This window comes from Homo sapiens, chromosome 20, assembly GCF_000001405.40.
Source record: "Homo sapiens chromosome 20, GRCh38.p14 Primary Assembly".
NCBI lineage: Eukaryota > Metazoa > Chordata > Mammalia > Primates > Hominidae > Homo > Homo sapiens.
In genome coordinates, this window is record NC_000020.11 from 33489821 (window position 1) to 33512425 (window position 22605).

Below are 22605 nucleotides of genomic sequence, written 5' to 3' on the forward strand. Positions count from 1 at the left end.
ACACCGGGAAGTCTGGAGCTAGAAAGTGGGCCGTGCGCGTGACGGGCGCGCGTGACGCCGAGGGGGCAGGTCTGAGAAGCAGGCTGCGCCGGGATTCGGCGGTCGGTTCCCGCGGAAGGGGCGGGTCAGGTTAGGGGGCGGTGCTTAATGGGAGCTGGTCTTGGGGCCGGGCTTCCGCGTGCGTTGGCCTGGCGGCGAGAGCGCGCGGCGGGGGCGTGCCCGGCGGGCGGGGCGGGGCCAGCCGGGGGCGGGGCGGGGCGCGGCCTAACGGCGGCGGCGGCGGCGGCGACGGCGACAGCAGCGGTGGTGGTGTCTGGTTAGCTCGGCGGCTGCAGATCTCGCGGCGACGCCTGCGAGGGACCCGGGCCGCGGGTCGAGGCGGGCGGCGCCTGCGAGGGACCCGTGTCGCGGGTAGAGGCGGGCGGCGCGCGGCGGCGGCGCTCGGCGATGGTAGGCGTCCCTGGAGCGGCCGCCTTCCAGCGTAAGTGGGGCGTGAATGCGGGCGGCCGAGGGGGGCGTGTGAGGGCCTGCGGCTCCGCAGGCGCGGTGATTCCGAGTGCCCCGGGCGCGAGGCCGGGAGTGGAAACTGAGGCCCGAAGCGGGGCGGCGGATCCAAGGTCACGCAGCGGGGCGGGCCTTCCCGGGCTCCTGAGGCCACCCCGTCGCTTCCTGCGCCGCCCGAAGAGCTCGGGGCTCACGGTGTGAGGGAAATTGTGGGGCCCGCGGCCTCGGAACTTAGGCCGGGCCGGCGTCCATGGGACTTGCCGGCGGGCAAGAATCATTTTGTTGTCCCAGCGCTGGGGCCACGAAGTCCGGCTCCTGGGGAAATACTACACCCGCCCGATGTTGAGGGTTGGAGGAGATGAGAATGGCCCCTCGGAGGGCCTGTTTGAGCGCAGGCTCAGTAGTTGGCTACCTGGGTTCACATCCAGGCTTCCCCATTTAGGTAGTGACCTTGGCTCTCCCGGTGCCTCAGTTCCCCCATCTGCAAAATGGGGATGTGGAGCGGGTTCCCTCCCTCCCCCAGGGTTCTTGGGTTTTGTGAGGCCAGTAAAACGCTTGACACCGACCGTGGCACACACACAATTGTGAAAACTGTCATTATTGTAATCGTCCTTTATTAATCTGATCCAGTGTGCACCGCACTCGGAAAAGTCCGAAATTAGGCTCTAGCCGTGTTAAGATTTTGTTTTGTTGTCTGTTAGTCCTGCTCCATGATCTAATTGTTATTCTTACTTCCATTTAGCCATTCCAGTATTTATCTAGTGTTCCTCCTTGATGTGTGAGATCCTTGGGGGAGGGGTGGCTTCTCTGAATAAGAACAATAAAATTTTAATTGTTTTTCATTATTGTAATTATAATAGCCAACATTTTTTTGAGCACCAGACATTTTGCATTCTATTCACTTAATATTTATTAAATCATATAGTAAGTTTAAAAATACCATTCCAGGCCCTGGGAATACAATAAACAAGATAGACCGAACTGGGGTTTTGAGTTTAGTTAGGAGAGGGAGAGACATAGTAAATGAGGAAACAGATAAACATGTTTTGCATGTTTTTTTAATTGTTTAATCTTGATGACATCCTAAGTAAGACATTATTTGAGGATGCCCATTTTGCAGAGGATGAAACTGAGTAACAGAAGGTACTCTGAGTACTAGTCTCAGAGCTGATGTCCTTAAACACGTGAAAGGGAGGCTTTACGCTTCTTTTTTTTTGCACCCATTAAATGTTGGATTGAAGATAGAAAAAGTAGATACACCCAGCTTGCAGTTACTGCTTTTGATGGTTTGATCCATTCCTCATGAAATTTCCAACTAAAGAGGCGGATAGTGATTACTCTTTTAGGCTTGCAAAGGTACAGCATCTCTGTAAAATGAAAGGCTTTTTTTTTTTTGAGACGGAATCTTGCTCTGTCGCCCAGACTGGAGTGCAGGGGTGTGATCTTGGCTCACTGCAACCTCCGTCTCCTGGGTTCAAGCTATTCTCCTGTCTCAGCCTCCGGAGTAGCTGGGACTACAGGCATATGCCACCACGCTCGGCCAATTATTTTATTTTATTTTATTATTTTTTTTGAGACGGAGTTTTGTTCTTGTTGCCCAGGCTGGAGTGCAGTAGTACAATATCGGCTCACTGCAACCTCCCCCCGCCCCAGGTTCAAGCGATTCTCCTGCATCAGCCTCCAGAGTAGCTGCGATTACAGGCGCCTGCCACCACACCTGACTAATTTTTTGCATTTTTAGTAGAGACGGTTTTACCATGTTGGCCAGGCTGGTCGTGAACTCCTGAACTCAGGGGATCCATCTGCCTCAGCCTCTCAAAGTGCTGGGATTAGAGGCATGAGCCACTGCGCCCGGCCTTAATTTTTATATTTTTAGTAGAGACAGGGTTTCACCATATTGGTCAGGCTGGTCTCGAACCCCTGACCTCAGGTAATTCACCCACCTCAGCCTCCCAAAGTGCTGGGATTACGAGCGTGAGTCACCAAGCCTGACCAGAAAGGACTTTTTATTTGAAAAAATTGGGGGGCTCTTCTGCCTATGAAGTAGTCTTCCTTTGTTTCTTTACTTCCATAATAAACTTGCTTTCACTTAAAAAAAAAAGATTGTGTCCAAATTTCTTTTGTGTAGTATTTAGTTTAAAATATGCCCAAAAGCACAACTTTTGCTTCTGTTACGTAACTACATTTTTGTTTTCTTTTTTCCTTTTTTTGAGACAGTCTCTCTCTGTCACCCAGACTGGAGTGCAGTGGCGTCATCATGGCCCACAGCAGCCTCAACCTCCTGGGTTCAAGTGATTCTCCTGCCTCAGCCACTTGAGTAGCTGGGACTCCAGGCGCCACCACACCCAGCTAATTTTTTTATTTTTTGTAGAGATGGGGTCTTGCTTTGTTGCCCATGCTAGTCCGGAAGTCCTGGGCTTGAGTAATCCTCCTTCCTCAGCCATCCAAATTGCTGGGATTAAAGTCATGAGCCACTTTGCCTGGCCTTTTTTAGTGTTTCTAAGAGAATTCTGTATTACATTCCTAGACAGTACACTTGGTGTAGTACTCAGCCTCCTGAGGAGCTGGGATTACAGGTGCTCACCACCATGCCTGGCTAATTTTTTTTTGTATTTTTTGTAGAGACGGGGTTTAACCATGTTTTGGCTGGGCTCCTGACCTCAAGTGATCTGCCCGCCTCAGCCTCCCAAAGTTCTGGGATTACAAGTGTGAGCCTCTGCACCCGCCCTTGATTGAAGTTTTGGTTTTTTTTTTTTTTTTTTTTTTTTGAGACGGAGTTTCACTCTTGTTGCTCAGGCTGGCGTGCAATGGCATGATCTCGGCTCACTGCAACCTCCGCCTCCTGGGTTCAAGCAGTTCTCCTGCCTCAGCTTCCCAAGTAGCTGGTATTACAGGTGCGTGCCAACACGTCCGGCTAATTTTTGTATTTATAGTAGAGATGGGGTTTCACTACATTGGCCAGGCTGGTCTCGAACGCCTGACCGCAGGTGATCTGCCCGCCTCGGCTTCCCAAAATGCTGGGATTACAGGCATGAGTAACTGCACCTGGCCTTGATTGAAGTTTTTAACTGGCATGCTGGGAAAGAGAATATAGGAGTTCAGTCTTAAAATCGGTGCTTCAACCCCTGAGCCAGAGTCCTTGGGGAAGTAGTCTAGAACTGTGGCCTCACATGTTTGTTTTTTCTTTTTTTAAAACTGAGGTGGGGTCTTGCTCTGTTGCCCAGGTTCTGCTGCCCAGTGAGCATAGCTTCTGCAGCCTCTTATCTCTGGGGCTCAAGTCAGCCTCCCACCTCAGCCTCCCTAGTAGCTGTGACTACAGGCATGTATTGCCATGCCTGGCTAATTGTTTAAAAAGTTTTGTAGACATGGGGTTTCACTGTGTTTCTCAGGCTGGTCTTGAACTGCTGGGCTGCAGCGATCCTCCTGCCTCAGCTTCCCGGTATTGGGAGTAGAGGCATGAGCCACCATACCTGGCCACCTAAAATGTTTTTAGTGTTCATTCCATCAGTAAATAGGGTTGAGTATGCACACACATTCTATGAATGTTTTATTTTTTGTTTTTTTATGGTTTTTTTTGAGACGAAGTTTTGCTCTTGTTGCCCCAGCTGGAGTGCAGTGGTGCGATCTCGGCTCACTGCATCGTCCATCTCCTGAATTCAAGTGATTGTCCTGCCTCAGCCTCCCAAGTACTGGGATTTCAGGTGTATGGCACCACCCCTGGTAATTTTGTGTTTTCAGCAGTGATAGGGTTTCACCATGTTGGTCAGGCTGGTCTCAAACTCCTGACCTAAAGTGATCCACCCGCCTTGGCATCCCAAAATGTTAGGATTACAGGCGTGAGCTACCGCGCCTGGCCTGAATGTTTGTTTTAAATGGCGATTATAGTGTGACTGTACTATGTATTAGGCATATATATGTGTATATATATATATATATATATATATATATATTTTTTTTTTTTTTTTTTTTTTTTTTGAGACAGAGTCTCGCTCTGTTGCCCAGGCTGGAGTGCAGTGGCACGATCTCAGCTCACTGCAAGCTCCACCTCCTGGGTTCACGCCATTCTCCTGCCTCAGCCTCCCGAGTAGCTGGGACTACAGGTGCCCGCCGCCACGCCTGGCTAATTTTTTGTATTTTTGGTAGAGGCGGGGTTTCACCCTGTTAGCCAGGATGGTCTCGATCTGCTGACCTCGTGATCCGCCCGCCTCGGCCTCCCAAAGTGCTGGGATTACAGGCATGAGCCACCGCGCCCGGCCACTGTATTAGGTGTATTGTTTTGTTTTATTTTGTTTTGAGATGGAGTTTTGCTCTTGTTGCCCAGGCTGGAGTGCAATGGCGATCTTGGCTCACCACAACCTCCGCCTCCCAGGTTCAAGCGATTCTCCTGCCTCAGCCTTCCAAATAGCTGGGATTACAGGCATGCACCACCACACCCAGCTAATTTTGTATTTTTAGTGGAGATGGGGTTTCACCATGTTGGTCAGGCTGGTCTCAAACTCCTGACCTCAGGTGATCCGCCCGTCTCAGCCTCCCAAAGTGTTGGGATTACAGGCATGAGCCACCACGCCTGTCCTAGGTATGTTTTATAACATACAAAAATAGACATTTTACAGAAGGATAAGGTAAAATAAATGGAAGTAGCAGTTCCAACGTTGTCTTTCTACACCCAGTGGTGAATTTTAACAATACCTCCTGGGGTGGAGATCATTGATCTTGTAGTAGTACCTTCTCAATCCATTAGGTCTATTGCTCTGATGAAATCTAGTTTATTCGGTAGAAGTAAAATGTAATGGCTGGGTATGGTGGCTCGCGCCTGTAATCCCACCATTTGGAAGGTCGAGGTGGGCGGATCATCTGAGGTCAGGAGTTTTGAGACCAGCATGGCCAACATGGTGAAACCCCATCTCTACTAAAAATACAAAAAGAAGCTGGCTGTGGTAGCGGGGGCCTGTAGTACCAGCTGAGGCAGGAGAATTGCTTGAAGCCAGGAGGCAGAGGTGGCCGTGAGCTGAGATCCCACCATTGCACTCCAGCCTGGGCAACAAGAGGGAAACTCTATCTCAAAAAAAAAAAAAAAAAAAGGCCGGGCACGATGGCTCATCCCTGTAATCCCAGCACTTTGGGAGGCTGAGGTGGGCGGATCACGAGGTCAGGAGTTCAAGACCAGCCTGGCCAACATTGTGAAACCCCGTCCCTACCAAAAAACGTACAAAAAAAATCAGCTGGGCGTGGTGGCGGGTTCCTGTAGTCCCAGCTACTTGGGAGGCTGAGGCAGGAGAATTGCTTGAAAGAAACTGCGGAGGTTGCAGTGTGCTGAGATCGTGCCACTGCACTCCAGCCTGGGCAACACAGCAAGACTCTGTCTCAAAAAAAGAAAAAAATGTAATGGTTAAGATTTAAATTCTAAAGTTTTGAAATTTAATTCTGGAGTTGTGCTGAGGTTAAAATCCTGGGAACCAATCCTAACAAGTTTTGAGACTTCAGGCTCATTACTTAACCTTCTTGTGCAGTTCATTTTCCTCATCTGAAAAATGGAGATAAAATTTCTACCCCATTTGCAGGTTTATTATGATGGTTAATATATGTTAATATATGTAAAGTACTTAAAACCGTGCTTGACACATTCTGTTCTGGTGGTTGTTAGTGGCTGAGGGTATACCATCTGACTTAGGGTCTCAGTCTAGGAGGGGCCGTGCACAAGTCAACAGGTAATGATAAAGTGTTTTAAGTGCTTTAAGCGTAAGGCTTTTGGGAAGGCAGGGGAGACATAACTAATTATTCCTTGAGATTCCAGGTAAGGTCCAGCTAAAGGGGTGACATTAAACCAGGCTTTAAAGGAGAAGGGAGGCTTTTCCCAGGAGAAGGAAGGGTGAAGTCTACTGGCTGAAGGTAGTTGAGGGCTTGGTGAGTAGTTTATCAGATCTGGACCTACAGGGAACCTGATTGAAGCTTATATACCTTGTTAATAGTGAATTCTGGCTGGAGTTGTTCCTGGCAGGGGCCAGATGGCAAAGAAGCCTGTTACAGAACTTTTCACACCACCACAGCCCTTTCCTTCTCTCTCTGGCACATACCTCATTCTGCCTTCTTAGTTATCTAAGAATATAAGCTTCTAAATTATAAACTCCTTGAGGGTTTTGACAATGTTTGCATTTTTGTAATTTTATTTTGCCTAGCAAGGTAAGTAGGAAGTTCATTAGTGTCGAGAAAGGTATATAATCATTGGACCTTCAAGGAAGTCTAAACAGTTAAAAGTGGAATGGTAAATGACCATATTTACTAGTGAAAAACTTGGTTACAAATGTTTTGTAGTAGATAGGACCTGTGCATTACTATTTAAAAGGGGTAAGAATGATCATCTTCAGTATCCCTTTCCTTATCTGGCACTTATCCATTGGGATTACAGAAGAGATCGGAAAGTGCATCAGAAAGGCTTGTCTGACGTTGAATAGGTACCTTTTGTTTGCTCTTCTAGGTCTGCTTTCCATCCTTTTTCACCCTATCCTGTGCCCTGGGAAGCTGACTTACCTATATGGACTACATCAATGAGCTTCCTTCCCCTTTGAGGTTATGAAATTTATTTTCCTACTCCCGTCTCATGGGTTGTGCCCTTAGCTGACTCTGTCCCTTGACTGAAGGTCACTGCTTCTCTAAATGTGGTCCTCTCGGCCGGGTGCGGTGGCTCATGCCTGTAATCCCAGTACTTTGGGAGGCTGAGGCCGGCAGATCACCTGAGGTCGGGAGTTTGAGACCAGCCTGACCAAAATGGAGAAACCATGTCTCTACTAAAAATACAAAATTAGCTGGGCATGGTGGTGCATGCCTGTAGTTCCAGCTACTCAGGAGGCTGAGGCAGGAGAATTGCTTGAACCCGGGAGGCGGAGGTTATGGTGAGCAGAGATCACGCCATTGCACTCCAGCCTGGGTGACAAGAGCGAAACCCTGTCTCCAAAAAAAAAAAAAAAAAAAAAAAAGAATGTGGTCCTTTCTGTGTGACATCCTCCATGTAGGTTTGGAAAGTTTTTGTTCCCTTTGGTTGTTGGGCCTAGAGATCTAGAGATGCTCTCATTAGTCCCAGGGTATTACAGCTATCCCTTGTGCCTATCTTGTACCCTGCTCACATATTTCTTTCTAGTTCCATTATTAAACCCTCCTTGAATTAACCTTACTGGAGTATGCCATGTTTCCTGCTGGGACCATGACTGTGTTTGAAGCTTGTATACTTTTTTTTTTTTTTTTTTTTTGAGAAGGGGTCTCACTCTGTCGCTAGGCTACAGTGCGGTAGTGTGATCTGGGCTCACTACAATCTCTGCCTCCCGGGTTCCAGCGATTCTCCTGCCTCCGCCTCCCGAGTAGCAGGGACTACAGGCACACGCCACCACGCCCAGCTAATTTTTGTATTTTTAGTAGAGATGGGGTTTCACCATGTTGGCCAGGCTAGTCTCGATCACTTGACCTCGTGATCTGCCCGCCTTGGCCTCCCAAAGTGCTGGGATTACAGGCGTGAGCCACCACACCCAGCTTATTTTTATTTTTTTTATAGAGACAGGATGTTTCTATGTTTCCCATGCTGGTCTCTAATTACTGGGTTCCAATGATTCTCCTGCCTTGGACTCCCAAAATGCTAGGATTGCAGATGTGAGCCATTGAGTCCAGCCCTTCTTTGACTTTTGAGTAAGTTTATCCTAGTTTGGAACCAGTTAGTTTTCTTTTTATCTTACTGTATTTTTAAAATTTTTGTTTGTTAATTTTGAAACCAGGTTATGAGACCAACTTTTGTATTTTTGGTAGAGACAGGGTTTCTTCATGTTGCCCAGGCTGGTCTAGAACTCCTAGGCTCAAGTGATCCACCTGCCTTGGCCTCCCAACGTGCTGGCATTAACAGGCATGAACCACTGTGCCTGGCCCAGTTAATTTTCTTTCTTTTTTTTTTTTTTTTGAGATGGAGTTTCCCTTTTGTTGCCCAGGCTGGAGTGCAGTGGCACTGGAGTGCAGTTGCTCACTGCAACCTCCGCCTCCCAGGGTCAAGCCATTGTCCTGCCTCAGCTTCCCAAGTCGCTGGGTTTACAGGCATGCGCCACCACACCTGGCTAATTTTTGTATTTTTAGTGGAGATGGGGGTTTCATCATGTTGGCCAGGCTGGTCTCGAACTCCTGACCTCAGGTCATCTGCCCACCTCGGCCTCCCAAAGTGCTGGGATTATAGGCGTGAGCTACCGCGCCCAACCTGACCTAGTTTTCTTATATACAGAATCAAAAAATCAGCAGAGAGGTTGGGCGTGATGGTGGTGCCACTCAGCTGTAGTCCCAGTTACTCGGAAGGCTGAGGTAGGAGGATCGCTTGAGCCCAGGTGTTGGAAGCTGCAGTGATAGTGCCACTGCACTCCAGCCTGGGTGACAGAGAGACCCTGTCTCAAAATAATAAAAAATAATAATGGCCAGGCACAGTGGCTCATACCTGTAACCCCAGCACTTTGGGAGGCCGAGGCGGGCGGATCACCTGAGGTCAGGAGTTCGAGACCAGCCTGGCCAACATGGCAAAACCCCGTCTCTTCTAAAAATACAAAAATTAGCCAGGTATGGTGGTGGGTGCCTATCATCTCAGCTACTCAGGAGGCTGAGGCAGGAGAATTGCTTGAACCCAGGGGGCGGAAGGTTGCAGTGAGCTGAGATCACGCTGCTTCATTCCAGCCTGGGCGAAAGAGTGAAACTCCGTCTAAAAAGAAAAAAAAAAAAAATAAGCAGAGAGATTGAGTTTAAGCTTGTTCTCAAGTGTTAAATGTTGTATAGGTTATGTGAATCCAGAGTTTTAGGCAGGAAGAATGGTTTAAATGATAGTGCTTAATGAATGATTGCAGCCCTGGGATCAAAATGAGTTAATTCACTAAGTTCAGGGTAATGAAAATAGGAGGAAGAGGTGGGGAAGTAAGATTTCTCACCTGCCAATTTTGTTCTCATTCCTTAGAGTATTGTTTTGAATCTCATAGAAAGTGACCATTCTTTTGTAAAGATTTACTTCAAATCCCTGAAAGCTTGGAGGCTAATGAAGAAGAATCACTCTGGTTATTGTTTAGGCTTTAGTAAGATTACCAAGGAAGGGATCTCATAATGCTGTAGTAATAGTTTACATGTGCGACATGAGCTAGTGTTTGTACATGTGACAGACCTTGTTTCTGGATTTTATTAAGGCTGGTTAAGTAGCTTTTTGCCTCTGTCTCTGGTTTCTGTCTCTGGCCCCTTGAGGCTATCTGAAATTTTAGGAGTTGGGGTACCATAACTTGAACTTTTGAAATGAGTCAATAAGCAGATACGTCAGCCGAGTATGACTTTAAGTCTAGTTGAATTCTTTTAAGAAAAAGTCTTGGCTAGATTTTCTGCTGGGCATTTTTTATGTACATCAATCATCTCATTTAATTATAGATCAAACTTGGGAGAGAGTATCTCTGTTTTACTGATAAGGAAATCCTGGGCGACAGAGTGAGACTCCATCTCAGAAAAAAGAAAAAAAGAAATGAGTTAGAGAATTTAATTGTCCAAGGTCACACAGTTAATAAGTAGTAGATTCACTCTTCCTAACTAGTTTAATCTTGGTGTCAAGTTCATTCATTATGCATTGAGTGTCCAAACACCCATTTATTTTTTATTTTTTATTTTTTTTAAAGACAGTCTCTGTCGCTCAGGCTGAGTGCAGTGGTGTGATCTTGGCTCACTGCAACCTCCACCACCGAGGTTCAAGCAGTTCTGTGCCTCAGCCTCCTGAGCAACTGGGACTACAGGCGCCCGTCACCACACCCGGCTAATTTTTGTATTTTTAGTAAAGACGGGGTTTCACCATCTTGGCCAGGCTGGTCTTGAACTCCTGACTTGTGATCTGCCCGCCTCTGCCTCCCAAAGTGGTGGGATTATAGACGTGAGCCACTGCGCCCAGCCAAAAACCCACTTTTTTTTAACCCTCTATCGCATGGCTTCTTTTTGCTAGACTAGGGGTTTTTAGACATGTGTTCTACAGGAGCCCAGAGCTTCCTGAAGATAATTGATTTCCCATAATCTTTCTTCAACTTTCTTTCCCTAACAACTCTTCTTATTTAAAAAAAAAAGTCCAGGCCAGGCGCGGTGGCTCACGTCTGTAATTCAAGCACTTTGGGGAGGCTGAGGCTGATGGATCAGCTGAGGTTGGGAGCTCAAGACCAGCCTGACCAACATGGAGAAACCCCGTCTCTAATAAAAATACAAAATTATTCAGCCATGGTGGCGCATGCCTGTAATCACAGCTACTTGGGAGGCTGAGGTGGGAGAATCACTTGAACCTGGGAGGCAGAGGTTGTAGTGAGCCAAGATCCTGCCACTACACTCCAGCCTGGGCGACAGAGCAAGACTCTGTCTCAAAAAAATAAATAAAAATTTAAAAATTTAAAAAAGTCCAAATAATTGGGGTATGATTTAAAGATAGCTATATGAGACCTTGTTCAGGGGTATCCTAAGTTGGCCTTAGAGATGAATTAAAAAAATAAAAAGGCAACAGAAACTGTCAGCAGTCTTTAACAATTCATCCCATATGTTTCCTGATCTTAGCAGTGAAGCAGATGATGGCAGTGAACATCAAAAGCCCAAGAAATGTCCATGCTAATTTTGCATGGCTCTATGAGGAGCTGTCAAATATGGATCATCAAATATAGTATATAGACTATGCAATGAAGCTTTACTTTGCAATGTGGCTCTTTAAGATTTGATTTTACCCTTCTATTTTGTGTTGTAATTAAATGCAGAAATCAAAGTATAAATTCAGAATAACCCAGAGCTTGGTATCCTTCTGTCTGAATTTATAGCTTTGGAGTTGGCTAGACCTTTCAGTCAAATTAGCTGATGGTGACAAATATGTAATGTGACCTCTGTAGCAGCTCCAGTGAAATGTTAATATCAGGCATAGCACAGCTCCCTTGATACACTATTTTGGCCTTTTCCTCTCTTACAAATGTTTCCCTTATTTCTTTGTTAATTTAGCCATCTCCATGCAGAGGTCGTGCCTGCTTTTAATTTTTCGAAGCCACATGAGAACAGACATTTAAACAACACAGATTTATTCATTTTGGCCTTGTATCCCTAGAGCTACACTAACTTTATGTCTGGGACTAAAGGTGGAAGTAGCTGAGATTAGGGAAATGCAGAATGGTGAGGGAGAAGTGCCGGGAGAGGTGATGGTTTTAGCTCCTGCATTCCCCAGCCAATTGCTGAAATTCAGCTCCCCATTAATTTTCCCTTGATAAGTTGGTCTGGCTAAGTAGTTGAAACTATATTCTTAGCCTTCCTTTTTTTTTTTTTTTTTTTTTTTTTTTTGAGAGGGAGTCTCACTTTGTCGCCAGGCTGGAGTGCAGTGGTGCGATCTCGGCTCACTGCAACCTCCGACTCCCTGGTTCAAGTGATTCTCCTGCTGCAGCCTCCTGAGTACCTGGGATTACAGGCACATGCCACCACACCCAGCTAATTTTTGTATTTTTAGTAGAGACAGGGTTTCACCATGTTGGCCTGGATGGTCTGGATCTCCTGACCTCAGGTGATTCGCCTGAGTCAGCGTCACAAAGTGCTGGGATTACAGGCATGAGCCACTGCGCCTGGCCTAATTACAAAATTTACTTAATTTTTTATTTTGTAGAGATGAGGTCTCACTTTGTTGCCCAGGCTGATCTCAAACTCCTGGGCTCAAGTTATTCTCCCACCTCAAGCTCCGAAAGTACTGGGATCACAGGCGCAAGCCACCTTATGTGGCACTAGCCGGGATTATAGACAAGCGTCAGCTAATTTTTGTTGTTGTTTCTGTCAGTCCTTCCTTGCTTATTAGTTAATATTCTTCTGCAGAGCATTTTCTTATCTTTGTGTATATATATTAATATGGATTTATGGATTCTTATTTTAATACTCTGTTACTGTCATTATTTGTTGTGTTCACATTGTTCCAGATTTGGCCAGGGAGATCCCCTTCAAGCTGGCTTTTGTGTCATTTTGACACATTCCCACATTTTTTAACTGCTTTTTTTGACACACCAAAAAGGTGTTGTAGGCTTAGTTTCTGCTCTTCATTTTTTTTTTCTTTTTTTTCGTGTGTGTGACGGAGTCTCGCTCTGTCGCCCAGGCTGGAGTGCAGTGGCCCGATCTCGGCTCACTGCAAGCTCCGCCTCCCGGGTTCACGCCATTCTGCCTCAGCCTTCCGAGTAGCTGGGACCACAGGCGCCCGCCAACACACCCGGCTAATTTTTTGTATTTTTAGTAGAGACGGGGTTTCACCGTGTTAGCCAGGATGGTCTGGATCTCCTGACCTTGTGATCTGCCTGCCTCGACCTCCCAAAGTGCTGGGATTACAGGCGTGAGCCACCGTGCCCGGCCTAGTTTCTGCTCTTCTTACCCTCTTCTTGGAATCGGCCATTTCTCCAAACTGTTTCTCTCCTAATTCCTTTCAGTGGAGAAAATTATTTAGAAATCAAGATTTGGAGGCCGGGCGCGGTGGCTCACGCCTGTAATCCCAGCACTTTGGGAGGCCGAGGGGGGCGGATCACGAGGTCAGGAGATCGAGACCATCCTGGCTAACACGGCGAAACCCCATCTCTACTAAAAAATACAGAAAATTAGCCGGGCTTGGTGGCGGGCATCTGTAGTCCCAGCTACTCCGGAGGCTGAGGCAGGAGAATGGCGTGAACCCGGGAGGCGGAGCTTGCAGTGAGCTGAGATCGCGCCACTGCGCTCCAGCTTGGGTGACAGAGCGAGACTCTGTCTCAAAAAAAAAAAAAAAAAAAAAAAAAGATTTGGATGCTGTGTGTGCTCATTCCTATTGGAATATTGTTTTTTAGAACTTCTTAATGGACAGAGCTAGGAAATATATACACACACATACATATACACATATCAAAAAATATGTATCTAAATTTCTTTCTTTCTTTCTTTTTTTTTTTTTTTTTTGAGATGGAGTCTCGCCCAGTCGCCCAGGCTGGAATGCAGTGGCGCAATCTCAGCTCACTGCAACCTCTGCCTCCCGGGTTCAAGCGATTCTCCTGCCTCAGCCTCCCGACTAGCTGGGATTACAGGCGCCCGCCATCAGGCCCAGCTAATTTTTGTATTTTTAGTAGAGACGGGGTTTCACCATGTTGACCAGGCTGGTATCGAACTCCTGACCTCGTGATCCGCCCGCCTCGGCCTCCCAAAGTGCTGGGATTGCAGGCGTGAGCCACCGCACCTGGCCATTTTGTGTGTATTTTTAGGAAAAAAATTATTGTATAAAACTAGATAGCAGTGAAATATATTCATTTTGTATGGTTTATTTATTTATCTTTTTTTCTTGGTGCTTCTGTCTTGGCAGAGTCTCAGAATAACTTGAAATCTTTTTAAATTTTTTGTGACAGGGTCTTACTATGTTGCCCCGGCTGGCCTCGAACTCCTGGCCCAAGCGAATCTCCTGCCTCGATCTCGCAAAGTACTGGGATTCAGGCATATGCCACTATGCGTGGCCAAGATGTAATTTATATACAATCAAATTTACTTTTTTTTTTTTTGTCAGTGGGTAGAGAAAAAAACTTGCTCTTTTTCATGGCATAGTTCTATTAGTTTTGTATTATTAGTATGCAGTTGTAATCATCAAACCAGATAGAGATAATTTTCATTCTTCCTGTAAGTTTTCTCACACCCCTTTCTTTTCACCTCGCTCTTGGAAGCTACTAGTTTATACTGGTTTTTGTCACTCACAGTTTTATGGGGGTTTTTGTTTGCTTGTTTCTCTACTTTTTCTTTTCTATAATGTCATATACATGGAATCATACAGTATGTAACCTTTGTGTCTGATGTGTTTCACTTACCATAATGCTTTTGAGATTCATCCACGTTGTGTCATGTATCTATAGGTTGTTCCTTTTTATTGTTGAGTAACATGTTATGTTCACCAGCTGATGGACATTTGAACTGTTTCCCATTTTGATGATTATGAATAAAGCTTTAAATATTCATATACGGTTCTGCATGTGGACATATGTTTTTCTCTCTCTTGGATAAATACCTAGGCATGGGATTGCTGGGTTCTATGATAATTTCATATTTAACTTTTTTTTTTTTTTTTTTTTTTTAAGATGGAGTCTTGCTCTGTCACTTAGGCTGGAATGCAGTGGCATGGCTCACGGCAGCCTCCGCCTCCTGAGTTTAAGCAAATTCTCCTGCCTCAGTCTGCCGAGTAGCTGGGATTACAGGTGTGCACCGCCACGCTTGGCTAATTTTTGTATTTTTAGTAGAGATGGGGTTTCACCATGTTGGCCAGACTGTCTCGAAATCCTGACCTCAGGTGATCCACCCACCTTGGCCTCCAAAAGTGCTGGGATTAAAGGTGTGAGCCACCACGCCCGGCCTATACTTAACTTTTTTGGAAACTGCCAAAATGTTTTCCAAAATGGCTATACCATACCATTTTGCATTTCCACTACTAATGTATGACAGTTTCACTTGCTTGTTGGTATTTTTGTTTTGTTTTGTTTTAGAATTAATTGTTAAGGAAGCACTATATCTGGGTGAAATCAATTTTGGTCATCTCATTTCTACAATGAAAGGAATACTCTCTGTTACTTGTTTTAGAATGTAGGGTCCCTTGCTATTTATATTCTTTTGGGGTTAGTGCAGTTCTTATTTACACATCATTTGCAGAAATAATGGTAACTACCATTTGTGTATCAGAACAATTTTCACATATCTAATTTTTATAGCAATTAAGGTAGGTAGAAGTGTCTTCATCCTCTTAACTTGTATAAGGAGATTGGTTCGGGTAATCAGGTGATTTACTCACTGTCACACGGCTAGAATGTGAGAGTGTGGCTTTTTGGATTTGGAGCTGTGAGGGGACATTCTGTCTCTCTTTTAAGTAGAGGTGTAATAGAGGAAGATATGGGTGTCATCCCAGTCCTTTCTTTTACCTCAAATTCATAAGCAGTGCAGTCTTGAACAATTCATATTTGAATTTTGAGTTAATTTCATCTTTTCACCTGTCTACCTGAAAAGGTGAGAATCAGTTGAGGGACTGTTAAAGGATGTTTTGAACACTGTATGTTACCTCATGATTAATTTTATAGTACTCTCCATTTGTAGTGGTTTCCATAGTTGTTTATGGGAACAAGTTTGCAGAAAAAAAATGGTTGAATAGAAATAGAAGGGGTCGGCCGGGTGCAGTGGCTCACGCCTGTAATCCCAGCACTTAGGGAGGCCGAGGCGGGTGAATCACTGGAGGTCAGGAGTTCGAGACCAGCCTCAACATGGAGAAACCCCCATCTCTGCTGAAAATACAAAATTAGCCAGGCGTGGTGGTGCATGCCTGTAATCCCAGCTGCTCAGGAGGCTGAGGCAGGAGAATTACTTGAACCTGGGAGGCGGAGGTTGCAGTGAGCCGAGATCGCGCCATTGCACTCCAGCCTGGGCAACAAGAGCGAAACTCTTGTTTCAAAAAAAAAAAGAAAGAAATGGAAGGGGTCAGGTGTGGTGGCTTAGGCTTGTAATCCTAACACTTTGGGAGGCTGAGGCACATGGATCACTTGATATCAGGAGTTCAAGACCAGCCTGGCCAGCATGGGGAAACCCTGTCTCTACTATAAGTATGAAAATTAGCCAGACTGGTGGCGCACGCCTGTAATCCTAGCTATTAGGGAGGCTGAGGCAGGAGAATTGCTTGAACCCAGAAGGTGGAAGTTGCAGTGAGCTGAAATCGTGCCACTGCACTCCAACCTAGGGGACAGAGTAAGACTGTCTCAAAAAAAATAAAAATAAAAAAAGAAAAGAAATAGAAGGGGCTGGGTATGGTGGCTCAAGCCTATAATCCCAGCATTTTGAGAGGCCACAGTGGGAAAATTGCTTGAGTCCAGGAGTTTGAGACCACACTGGGCCAACACAGACCCTGTCTCTACAAGATAATAATAATAGTCATAATAATATAAATTAATACAAAAAAGAAGAGAAGCAATTTAATACAAGAGCTGAATAGCAAAATGGCCAGTACTACTACAATACACACAGAGACACAGGTCCCCTCTTTTTTCATATTTACTTTGTTTTATGTAATACATAAATACATTGAAAAAAATTAATACAGATAAAATAAAAATCCACTTCCTACACTAAGTGAAACCATTAACAACTGTATTATGGAGCTGTTAGATGCAGGGATTGCGCTAAGTGCCATAGGGCTGCCAAGGTAGGTAAGATTCGGTCCCGGTCCTCAGTGATTTTCTAGTTTTCCTTCTGTGCCCTAACAGTTTTTGGATAGCTCTTGTAATAAAAACTTTTAAACAGATGTTTTAAGTTTAGATAGTGATTAACCATCTTTTCCTCTTGTAATTGATGCCATCGAGTGAGAGTTCTGTTGGGAAATAGTGAAACAAGGATTCTGGTTCAATCAATGGAGGCAGGGAATTTCGGAGGAAGGAGATGGGATGCCATCCATGCCCCAGAGCCACTGAGCACTTAGCTGCAGCTGTGGAGAGCAACACTTGGCTAGCTATGAGTTTTCTGTAGGTCTCTAAATAGTTCATGCTAATTTTGTGGATGTTGGACTCTGAGGAATGGTGTGTTCAATGGGGAGAATGTCCAAAAAAACTGTAACTGGTAAGTAGCCATTTGGAATACTGAAATCAATTTCTGATTATGTGAATGTCCCTTTTTTGTAAATTATTTTAGCTTACTTGCCAGTTCAGTTTCTTGGTGTTACCCTGTTAGTTAAATTCAATATGTCATTTATTTAAGGGCCTGATATTTGTATTCTATTAGAAGGACAAACAGCTAATTATACTAGAAGGTGGACTATAATGAATTGTCATTACAGTGACTAAAAGTTATTGATTTTCTAGGATATTCTTGATTTCAGATATTTACTTTGACAAACGTTTATTGAATTCCTTGTATCAGATCCTGGGGGATATAAAGAGTTCTGAGGTCCTGGAGGACTATGTAGTCCAGTAAGGGAGATTGATAGCTTCAGTACCAAATGCTAAGCAGTGTTAATGGCAAGTAACATCCTACCAAGGATGGGCATCTGACCTAATGTGTAAGTATGCATGTGTGAGTGTGTTTCAAAAAAGGCTTCTTAGAGAAAATGATATCTGTTTTGAGCCAATCTGTTTTTCCTTACAACATAAAAAAATAATTTTTGGACTGGCTATGTATTTAGCTAATTTAACATTTGAAACGAACAAAGAATACTTATTGAAGTTTCTCTCACCTCTGCACCAGCCAGTCTTTTCCCCTTCCTGGAAGCAGCTAGCATTACCATTTTTTTCTGGACCCTTTCGATACATTCCTGTAGGCCATATAATGTCGGTAGGTAAAGAACTTCCTCATTTTGCATTGTATTTCATTGTATGACTGCACCATACTTTTTCCCCCCTACTGCTGATGGACATTTACCTTTCAATCCTTTGCTGTTGCAAACAATGCTGCATAACCTTGTAGCAATTGTCTTTTCATAGATCTGTAGAGTAAATTCCTAGAAGTAGAACTGCTGGGGTTAAGGGGTTTGCCTGTTTGTGTAATTTTGATAGATGTTGCCAGAATACCCTCTGGAGAGGTATATCAGCTTTTATACTCCTACCAGCAAAGCATGACCCAAGTGAAGAATGGGTAGGAGATGGGTGAAGTTGAGGCTGGGTCAGGTTTATGAGTGTGAGGGGGACTGAAAGTAGTTATGTATTATTGAAGTGTGAAGTGCTGGGTAAAGAATAGCAGGAGATGAGAGTAGGAAGCAGACGGGTCAGGTCCCTTTGCCTTTGTGCTGTTTTTGTTTGTTTGATAGCCTCTTACTCTGGCCCAGGCTAGAGTGCAGTGGCGCAATCTCAGCCCACTGCAACCTCCGCCTCCCGGGTTTAAGTGATTCTCCTGCCTCAGCCTCCCAAGTAGCTGGTATTACAGGTGTGCGCCACCACACCTGGCTAATTTTTGTGTTTTTGGTAGAGATGGAGTTTCACCATGTTGCTCAGGCTGGTGTCAAACTCCTGGGCTCAAGTGATCTGCCTACCCCGGCCTGCCAAAGTGCTGGGAGAACAGGTGTGAGCTACTGCACCCCGCCTGCCTTTGTTTTTATGCTTGTATTTTTTTGTTTGTTTGTTTTTTTAGCTTTTAAGTTGAGGGCTACATGTGCAGATTTGTTACATAGGTAAACTTGTGTCATGGGCGTTTGTTGTACAGATTACTTCCTCACCCAGGTATTAGCCTAGTACCTGTTATTTTTCCTGATCCTCTCCCTCCTCCCACCCTCCACTTTCCCATAGGCTCCAGTGTGTTTTGTTCCCCTCTTATATGTCTATGTGTTCTCATCATTTAGCTCCCACTTGTAAGTGAAAACATGCGGTATTTGCTTTTCTTTTCCCATGTTAGTTTGCTAAGGATAATGGCTTCCAGTTCCATCCATGTCCCTGCTGCAAAGGACATGATCTTCTTTTTTATGGCTGCATTTATAAGACAAGAGGGGTTTATTTAAACTTCTGCTATCAGAAGTAGGAAATTGGGATCCCATTAGGGCTTAACTTAATTGGTTTGATTTCAGCTTTTTAGCTTGGAGGCTGCTGAAGAGTTAATTTATTGTATGAGAGTTTGGCCGTGTGTGGAGCACAAACTTACTTGTTTTAAAGAAAGGATTTCTTTGTACATTTATTCATTTGCCAGATCAGTCGTTTACATGTGAACCCTCTTCACAGTTAGTTATAGGGAAAACAAGCAGATAATTCATGCCAGTTAAATATTACAATATGTCAGACTTGGCTGGGTGTGGTGGCTCACACCTGTAATCCCAGCACTTTGGAAGGCTGAGGTGGGCAGATCATCTGATGTCAGGAGTTTGAGACCAGCCTGGCCAACATGGTGAAATCCCTTATTTACTAAAATTACAAAAATTATCTGGGTGTGGTGGCACACACCTGTAGTCCTAGCTACTTGGGAGGCTGAGGTAGGAGAAACACTTGAACTCTGGAGGTGGAGGTTGCAATGAGTCAAGATTGCACCACTGCACTCCAGCCTAGGCGACACAGCGAGACTCCCTCTCAAAAAATAAAAAATAAAAAGAACACGACACACTGATTCAGATCCCAAGATTAAGGGGGAAAACAAGGCTTCAGATTTTATTAAACTTATCCTAAATAATGATGTTTTTAAAAGGAAACCTTTGGGGAAATAATCTGTCGGTAACAGATGTCTAAATTTTTCCTTATTTGAAAAGGTCCTGGCTGGGCACGGTGGCTCACACCTGTAATCCCAGCAATTTGGGAGGCCGAGGTGGGTGGATCATTTGAGGTCAGGAGTTTGAGACCAGCCTGGCCCAATGTGATGAAACCTCGTCTCTACCAAAAATACAAAAATTAGCTGAGCATAGTGGTGGGCTCCTGTAATCCCAGCTACTTGGGAGGCTAGGGCAAGAGAATCTCTTGAACGTGGGAGGCGGAGCTTGCAGTGAACTGAGATCACAACACTGCAGTCCAGCCTGGGAGATAGAGTAAAACTCTTTTTTTTTTTTTTTAAATACAAGTTCTAGGGTACATGTGCACAATGTGCAGTTTTGTTACATAGGTATACATGTGCCATGTTGGTTTGCTGCACCCATTAACTCGTCATTTACATTAGGTATTTCTCCTAATGCTATCCTGCCCCCTGCCCCCCACCCCACCACAGGCCTCGGGGTGTGATGTTGCCTGCCCTGTGTCCAAGTGTTCTCATTGTTCAATTCCCACCTGTGAGTGAGAACATGCGGTGTTTGGTTTTCTGTCCTTGTGATAGTTTGCTCAGAATGATGGTTTCCAGCTGCGTCCATGTCCCTGCAAAGGACATGAACTCATTGTTTTTTATGGCTGCATAGTATTCCATGGTGTATATGTGCCACTTTTTCTTTTTTTCTTGTTTTTTTTTTTTTGGAGACAGAGTCTCGCTCTGTCGCCCAGACTGGAGTGCAGTGGCGCTATCTTGGCTCACTGCAAGCTCCACCTCCCGGGTTCATGCCATTCTCCTGCCTCAGCCTCCCGAGTAGCTGGGACTACAGGTGCCCTCCACCACGCCCGGCTAATTTTTTTTGTATTTTTAGTAGAGACGGGGTTTCAGTTGTTAGCCAGGATGGTCTCAATCTGCTGACCTCGTGATCCGCCCGCCTCGGCCTCTGGAAGTGCTGGGATTACAGGCGTGAGCCACCACGCCCGGCCACATTTTCTTAATCTAGTCTATCATTGATGGACATTTGGGTTGGTTCCGAGTCTTTGCTATTGTGAATAGTGCCGCAATAAACATACTTGTGCATATGTCTTTATAGTAGCATGATTTATGATCCTTTGGGTATATGCCCAGTAATGGGATCGCTGGGTCAAATGGTATTTCTAGTTCTAGATCCTTGAGGAATCACCACACTGTCTTCCACAATGGTTGAACTAGTTTACACTCCCACCCACAGTGTAAAAGCATTCCTATTTCTCCACATCCTCTCCAGCATCTGTTGTTTACTGACCTTTTAATGATCGCTATTCTAACTGGTGTGAGATGGTATCTCATTGTGGTTTTGTTTTGCATTTCTCTGATGACCAGTGTTGATGAGCATTTTTTATGTGTCTGTTGGCTGCATAAATGTCTTCTTTTGAGAAGTGTCTGTTCATATCCTTCACCCACGTTTTGATGGGGTTGTTTGTTTTTTTCTTGTAAATTTGTTTAAGTTCTTTGTAGATTCTGGATATTAACCCTTTGTCAGATGGATAGATTGCAAAAATTTTCTCCCATTCTGTAGGTTGCCTGTTCACTCTGATGGTAGTTTCTTTTGCTGTGCAGAAGCTCTTTAGTTTAATTAGATCCCATTTGTCAATTTTGGCTTTTGTTGCCATTGCTTTTGGTGTTTTAGTCATGAAGTCCTTGCCCATACCTGTGTCCTGAATGGTATTGCCTAGGTTTTCTTCTAGGGTTTTTATGGTTTTACGTCTAATATTTAAGTAGTTAGTCCATCTTGAATTAATTTTTGTATAAGGTGTAAGAAAGGGATCCGGTTTCAGTTTTCTACATATGGCTAGCCGGTTTTCCCAGCACCATTTATTAAATAGGGAATCCTTTCCGCATTTCTTGTTTTTGTCGGGTTTGTCAAAGATCAGATGGTTGTAGATGTGTGGTTTTATTTCTGAGGCCTCTGTTCTGTTCCATTAGTTTATATATCTGTTTTGGTACCAGTACCATGCTATTTGAGCAAAACTCTTAAAAAAATGGTTTATGTAAAGAGAAAAGTAACAGAAAAAAGGCTGTCTTCCAAAAGGATTACAGGTGTGAGCCATCATGCCTGGCCATAAACTTTTTATTAAATAGACAAAATGCATAAATCATAAATGTACAGCTCAGTGAATTTTCACAAAGTGATCATACCTGTGTAGCTACTATGTAGATCAAGAAATAAAGCATTAGGGCATGGTGGTGCATGCCTGTAGTCCCAGCTACTCAGGAGGCTGAGGCAGGAAGATCACTTGAGCCCAGGAGTTCTGAGGATGCAGTGAGCCATGATCATGCCACTGCACTCCAGCTTGGGCTACAGAGCAAGACCCTGTCTCAAGAAGAAGAAGGCTGGGCACAGTGGCTTACGCCTGTAATCCCAGCACTTTGGAAGGCCAAGGCAGGGAGATCACTTGAGGTCAGGAGTTTGAGACCAGCCAGGCCAACATGTGAAACCCTGCCTCTACTAAAAATACAAAGATTAGCTGGGCGTGGTGGCATGCGCCTGTAGGCCCAGCTACGTGGGAGGCTGAGGTAGGAGAATCGCTTGAACCCGGGAGGGGGAGGTTGCAGTGAGCTGAGATCTACGCCACTGCACTCCAGGCCAGCGACAGAGCGAGACTCTGTCTTCAAAAAACAAAAATTAGCCGGGCATGGCGGTGTGCAGGCGGTGTGCACCTGTTAATCCCAGCCTCTCGGGAGGCTGAGGCAGGAGAACCACTTGAACCTGGGAGGCAAATGTTGCAGTGAACCAAGATGGGGCTACTGCACTCCAGCCTGGGCGACAGAGCGAGACTCCCTCTCAACAAAAAAAAAGTAAAAGAAAACATTAACAGCAACCACTTCAGAAGCCTACCTTCTTACTTGCCAGTCACTGTC

General features: G+C 45.0%; 1 protein-coding gene across 1 annotated transcript in view, besides 2 other annotated features; it reads left to right on the plus strand.

The window, feature by feature from the left end:
• Positions 86-305: a silencer, noted in NCBI's record as "silent region_12813". NCBI's record gives its function as "represses an Ori minimal core promoter by ATAC-STARR-seq in GM12878 lymphoblastoid cells {active_cell/tissue: GM12878}" and the evidence as "EXISTENCE:reporter gene assay evidence [ECO:0000049][PMID:35858748]".
• CBFA2T2 (CBFA2/RUNX1 partner transcriptional co-repressor 2) overlaps positions 276-22605 on the plus strand; it is a 159935-nt gene continuing 137605 nt past the window's right edge. The window contains exon 1 of the mRNA NM_001032999.3: positions 276-481. Coding sequence (NP_001028171.1) covers positions 448-481 — 34 coding nt within the window. The 5' untranslated portion in view covers positions 276-447. The remainder of the gene's footprint in view (positions 482-22605) is intronic.
• Positions 316-595: a silencer, noted in NCBI's record as "silent region_12814". NCBI's record gives its function as "represses an Ori minimal core promoter by ATAC-STARR-seq in GM12878 lymphoblastoid cells {active_cell/tissue: GM12878}" and the evidence as "EXISTENCE:reporter gene assay evidence [ECO:0000049][PMID:35858748]".